Consider the following 7,140-nt stretch of genomic DNA (forward strand, 5'->3'; position numbering starts at 1 on the left):
AAGAGTTTAGCTGGACACAAAGACTATGTATAAAACTCAATCATGTTTCTATATACCAGCAACAAACCTCCCAAAATTAAAGCATGCTACTTAAATATATCTGGAAATATTAAACACCTAGAAATAAGTCTAATAAAACGTCCACACAACTCCTGCAGAGAAAACTATTAAATATTATTGAAAGAAAACAAAGAAGTCCTAAATAAATACAAGGACATACCATGTTCACAGCTTGAAGATTCAATATTATAAAGATATTAGTTCTCAAAGTGATCTATAGATTCAATGTAATTCCAATTAAATCCCAACTGGTTTGTTTCTGTTTTGTAGAATTACAATGTGATTCTAAAATTTTTATGGAAATGTGAAGGGACAAGAACAACAAATACAACCTTGGAGAAAAAAAAGTATGTAGTGCCTCCTCGAGGCCTATTATAAAGCTACAGTTATTTTATTTTATTTTATTTTATCATACTTTAAGTTTTAGGGTACATGTGCACAATGTGCGGGTTAGTTACATATGTATACATGTGCCATGCTGGTGGGCTGCACCCATTAACTCGTCATTTAGCATTAGGTATATCTCCTAATGCTATCCCTCCCCCTCCCCCCACCCCACAACAGTCCCCAGAGTGTGATGTTCCCCTTCCTGTGTCCATGTGTTCTCATTGTTCAATTCCCACCTATGAGTGAGAATATGCGGTGTTTGGTTTTTTGTTCTTGCGATAGTTTACTGAGAATGATGATTTCCAATTTCATCCATGTCCCTACAAAGGACATGAACTCATCATTTTTTATGGCTGCATAGTATTCCATGGTGTATATGTGCCACATTTTCTTAATCCAGTCTATCATTGTTGGACATTTGGGTTGGTTCCAAGTCTTTGCTATTGTGAATAGTGCCACAATAAACATACGTGTGCATGTGTCTTTATAGCAGCATGATTTATAGTCCTTTGGGTATATACCCAGTAATGGGATGGCTGGGTCAAATGGTATTTCTAGTTCTAGATCCCTGAGGAATCACCACACTGACTTCCACAATGGTTGAACTAGTTTACAGTCCCACCAACAGTGTAAAAGTGTTCCTATTTCTCCACATCCTCTCCAGCACCTGTTGTTTCCTGACTTTTTAATGATTGCCATTCTAACTGGCGTGAGATGGTATCTCATTGTGGTTTTGATTTGCATTTCTCTGATGGCCAGTGATGGTGAGCATTTTTTCATGTGTTTTTTGGCTGCATAAGTGTCTTCTTTTGAGAAGTGTCTGTTCATGTCCTTCGCCCACTTTTTGATGGGGTTGTTTGTTTTTTTCTTGTAAATTTGTTTGAGTTCATTGTAGATTCCGGATATTAGCCCTTTTTCAGATGAGTAGGTTGCGAAAATTTTCTCCCATTTTGTAGGTTGCCTGTTCACTCTGATGGTAGTTTCTTTTGCTGTGCAGAAGCTCTTTAGTTTAATTAGATCCCATTTGTCAATTTTGTCTTTTGTTGCCATTGCTTTTGGTGTTTTAGATATGAAGTCCTTGCCCATGCCTATGTCCTGAATGGTAATGCCTAGATTTTCTTCTGGGGTTTTTATGGTTTTAGGTCTAACATGTAAGTCTTTAATCCATCTTGAATTAATTTTTGTATAAGGTTTAAGGAAGGGGTCCAGTTTCAGCTTTCTACATATGGCTAGCCAGTTTTCCCAGCACCATTTATTAAATAGGGAATCCTTTCCCCATTGCTTGTTTTTCTCAGGTTTGTCAAAGATCAGATAGTTGTAGATATGCGGCATTATTTCTGAGGGCTCTGTTCTGTTCCATTGATCTATATCTCTGTTTTGGTACCAGTACCATGCTGTTTTGGTTACTGTAGCCTTGTAATATAGTTTGAAGTCAGGTAGCGGTGATGCCTCCAGCTTTGTTCTTTTGGCTTAGGATTGACTTGGTGATGTGGGCTCTTTTTTGGTTCCATATGAACTTTAAGGCAGTTTTTTCCAATTCTGTGAAGAAAGTCATTGGTAGCTTGATGGGCATGGCATTGAATCTATAAATTACCTTGGGCAGTATGGCCATTTTCACGATATTGATTCTTCCTACCCATGAGTGTGGAATGTTCTTCCATTTGTTTGTATCCTCTTTTATTTCATTGAGCAGTGGTTTGTAGTTGTCCTTGAAGAGGTCCTTCACATCCCTTGTAAGTTGGATTCCTAGGTATTTTATTCTCTTTGAAGCAATTGTGAATGGGAGTTCACTTATGATTTGGCTCTCTGTTTGTCTGTTACTGGTGTATAAGAATGCTTGTGATTTTTGTACATTGATTTTGTATCCTGAGACTTTGCTGAAGTTGCTTATCAGCTTAAGGAGATTTTGGGCTGAGACAACGGGGTTTTCTGGATATACAGTCATGTCATCTGCAAGCAGGGACAATTTGACTTCCTCTTTTCCTAATTGAATACCCTTTATTTTCTTCTCCTGCCTAATTGCCCTGGCAAGAACTTCCAACACTATGTTGAATAGGAGTGGTGAGAGAGGGCATCCCTGTCTTGTGCCAGTTTTCAAAGGGAATGCTTCCAGTTTTTGCCCATTCAGTATGATATTGGCTGTGGGTTTGTCATAGATAGCTCTTATTATTTTGAGATACGTCCCATCAATACCTAATTTATTGAGAGTTTTTAGCATGAAGGTTGTTGAATTTTGTCAAAGGCCTTTTCTGCATCTATTGAGATAATCATATGGTTTTTGTCTTTGGTTCTGTTTATACGCTGGATTACATTTATTGATTTGCGTATATTGAACCAGCCTTGCATCCCAGGGATGAAGCCCACTTGATCATGGTGGATAAGCTTTTTGATGTGCTGCTGGATTCGGTTTGCCAGTATTTTATTGAGGATTTTTGCATCAATGTTCATCGAGGATATTGGTCTAAAATTCTCTTTTTTTGTTGTATCTCTGCCTATGTGTGTCTCTGCACGTGAGATGGGTTTCCTGAATACAGCACATTGATGGGTCTTGACTCTTTATCCAATTTACCAGTCTGTGTCTTTTAATTGGAGCATTTAGTCCATTTACATTTAAAGTTAATAGTGTTATGTGTGAATTTGATCCTGTCATTATGATGTTAGCTGGTTAGTTTGCTCGTTAGTTGATGCAGTTTCTTCCTAGCCTCAATGGTCTTTACAATTTGGCATGATTTTGCAGTGGCTGTTACTGGTTGTTCCTTTCCACGTTTAGTGCTTCTTTCAGGAGCTCTTTTAGGGCAGGCCTGGTGGTGACAAAATCTCTCAGCATTTGCTTGTCTGTAAAGTATTTTATTTCTCCTTCACTTATGATGCTTAGTTTGTCTGGATATGAAATTCTGGGTTGAAAATTCTTTTCTTTAAAAATGTTGAATATTGGCCCCCACTCTCTTCTGGCTTGTAGAGTTTCTGCCAAGAGATCCGCTGTTAGTCTGATGGGCTTCCCTTTGTGGATAACCCGACCTTTCTCTCTGGCTGCCCTTAACTTTTTTTCCTTCATTTCAAGTTTGGTGAATCTGACAATTATGTGTCTTGGAGTTGCTCTTCTCGAGGAGTATCTTAGTGGTGTTCTCTGTATTTCCGAATCTGAATTTTGGACTGCCTTGCTAGATTGGGGAAGTTCTCCTGGATAATATCCTGCAGAGTGTTTTTCAACTTGGTTCCATTCTCCCTGTCACTTTCAGGTACACCAATCAGACACAGATTTGGTCTTTTCACATAGTCCCATATTTCTTGGAGGCTTTGTTGGTTTCTTTTTATTCTTTTTTCTCTAAACTTCCCTTCTCGCTTCATTTCATTCATTTCATCTTCCATCACTGATACCCTTTCTTCCAGTTGATCGCATCGGCTCCTGAGGCTTCTGCATTCTTCACATAGTTCTCGAGCCTTGGCTTTCAGCTCCATCAGCTCCTTTAAGCACTTCTCTGTATTGGTTATTCTAGTTATACATTCGTCTAAATTTTTTTAAAAGTTTTTAACTTCTTTGCCTTTGGTTTGAATTTCCTCCTGTGGCTCGGAGTAGTTTGATCGTCTGAAGCCTTCTTCTCTCAACTCGTCAAAGTCATTCTCTGTCCAGCTTTGTTCCATTGCTGGTGAGGAACTGTGTTCCTTTGGAGGAGGAGAGGCGCTCTATTGTTTAGAGTTTCCAGTTTTTCTGCTCTGTTTTTTCCCCATCTTTGTGGTTTTATCTACTTTTGGTCTTTGATGTTGGTGATGTACAGATGGGTTTTTGGTGTGGATGTCCCTTCTGTTTGTTAGTTTTCCTTCTAACAGACAGGACCCTCAGCTGCAGGTCTGTTGGAGTTTGCTAGAGGTCCACTCCAGACCCTGTTTGCCTGGGTATCTGCAGCGGTGGCTGCAGAACAGCGAATTTTCGTGAACCACAAATGCTGCTGTCTGATCGTTCCTCTGGAAGTTTTGTCTCAGAGGAGTACCCGGCCATGTGAGGTGTCAGTCTGCCCCTACTGGGGGGTGCCTCCCAGTTAGGCTGCTTGGGGGTCAGGGGTCAGGGACCCACTTGAGGAGGCAGTCTGCCCGTTCTCAGATCTCCAGCTGCGTGCTGGGAGAACCACTGCTCTCTTCAAAGCTGTCAGACAGGGGCATTTAAGTCTGCAGAGGTTACTGCTGTCTTTTTGTTTGTCTGTGCCCTGCCCCCAGAGGTGGAGCCTACAGGGGCAGGCAGGCCTCCTTGAACTGTGGTGGGCTCCATCCAGTTGGAGCTTCCGGGCTGCTTTGTTTACCTAAGCAAGCCTGGGCAATGGCGGGCGCCCCTCCCCCAAACTCGCTGCCACCTTGCAGTTTGATCTCAGACTGCTGTGCTAGCAATCAGCGAGACTCCGTGGGCGTAGGACCCTCCGAGCCAGGTGCCGGATATAATCTCCTGGTGCGCTGTTTTTTAAGCCCGTCGGAAAAGCGCAGTATTAGGGTGGGAGTGACCTGATTTTCCAGGTGCCGTCTGTCACCACTTTCTTTGACTAGGAAAGGGAACTCCCTGATCCCTTGTGCTCCCCGAGTGAGGCAATGCCTCGCCCTGCTTCGGCTCGTGCACGGTGCGCTGCACCCACTGTCCTGTGCCCACTGTCTGGCACTCCCTAGTGAGATGAACCCGGTACCTCAGATGGAAATGCAGAAATCACCCGTCTTCTGCGTCGCTCACGCTGGGAGCTGTAGACCGGAGCTGTTCCTATTAGGCCATCTTGGCTGCCCTCCCCCCAGCTACAGTTATTAAGACTGTGTAGTACTGGCACAAGGATAGAGACATATAGCAATGGAAGAGATGTGAGAATCCAGAAACAGACCATGCATGTGTGGGCACTGATTTATGACAATGGTGACACTGTGGAGCAGTGGAGAGAGGTCTCATCAATAAATGATGCTGGGAAAATTGGTTATCCATATAAGAAAAATAAACTTTACCTTATCTCATCATGAAAATCAAATCCAGATGTGCTGTGTATCTAAATGAGAAATGTAAAACAATGAAACTTTACAAAGATAAGATAGGACAATAGCTTTATGACTTCGAGGGTAGTGACAGTTTTTTATATAGCCCACAAATCCTGCTAAACATAAAGGAGAAGACTACACTAAAATTTAGGACTTCAGTTCATCAAAAGATACCATAAAGAGAGAAGGAAAGGTGAAGTGACAAAATGGACGAAGATCCTTGACACATAAAGTCAATAAAAGACTCCTCCAGGTCAGTATGAAAAAGGCAAGCAACCCATAGAAAGCTGAGCAAAGGTCTTGAATGGACACTTCATAAATTATGACATCCAAATGTCTAATAAACATACTAAAACATATAAAAGGTGATCAGTCTCAGTAAGAGGAGTGATGAAATGTCACATCACAGGAAGATGTCATTAAATACCCATCAGAACAGCTGAAGTTAGAGAATCTGACACTATCAATTATTGGTGAAGATGTGGAACTATAAGAACTGCTCAACATTGCTGGTGGGAGTATGACATTCGTACAACCACTATGGAAAACAGTGAGGAATTACATAGTAGAGTTGAAGATACTCTTAGTTTATGATCCAGCAATTTATTTCTTAGATATATACCCCAAATAAATGTATAACTGTACTCAGGGATAGATAAAAGAATGCTTACTAACAGCGTATAATAAGTGTGGTTTATTCATATACTGGAATATTATACAACAATGGAAATGAAGTAATTATGTTATACGCAACAACCAGGATTAAAAAAAGAGTTTATCCTTAGCCTAGAAATTAATTTTTACTTAATTTTTTTTTTTAGTACTTAGTATGTGCCACACTTTGTTCTAAGTGTTGGGGATACAGTAGTGGACAAAAGAAAGTCCCTGCTTGAGTAGAATTTAGATTTTAGTGACATAATACAAACAGTGAATCAATAAATATATAACATGTCTGATGATAGAGAGGGAAATACAGGGTAAGAAAATAGAGATTGTCTAGTGCAACAGTAGGAGGATCTCTGGGGATTGATATTTTATATATATGGGAATATATATTTTATATATAGGGATATACTCTCTAATCAGTTCATTGACATTTAAGCAGAGACTTTAAGGAAGTGAGGGGGTAGGTCATGTAGCTATCTGTGGGAAGAGCATTCTGGGCTGAAGGAACATCAAATGCAAAGGCATTGAGGCAGAATGTGCCTGGTTTGTTGGAGAAAGAACAATAAGATTAGGGTTGCCGATGGGTTGTAAGCAAGGGGTGAGTGGTTGGAGATGAGCCTGGAGTCATTGTGTAGGGCTTTGCAGACCATTGTAAGACAATTTGGCTTTAAAAAATTGAGAGGAGATGCTATTAGAAGATTGTGAGCAGAGGAGTTAACAGGGTCTGTCTAGCTATGTTCACACAAAAACCTGTACATGAATGTTTATAGCTACTTTATTTGCAATAGTCAAGAACTAGGATCGTTCCAGATGTCCTTCAATAGGACATCTATAGTCTCAGCTGCTTAGGAGGCTGAGGGAGAATTGCTTGAGCCAAGGAGTTCAAGAACCTAGGCACATTGCAAGACAAAAATAAATGAACCAAACAAAAAAAATATGAAAGGTTAAATTGTGGTACACATGTGCCATGCAATCCAATAAAAAGCAACGAATTAATTTTTAAAATTTTCTGAGACAAGGTCTCAC

This window comes from Homo sapiens, chromosome 3 (genome assembly GCF_000001405.40).
Source record: "Homo sapiens chromosome 3, GRCh38.p14 Primary Assembly".
Taxonomy (NCBI): Eukaryota; Metazoa; Chordata; class Mammalia; order Primates; family Hominidae; genus Homo; species Homo sapiens.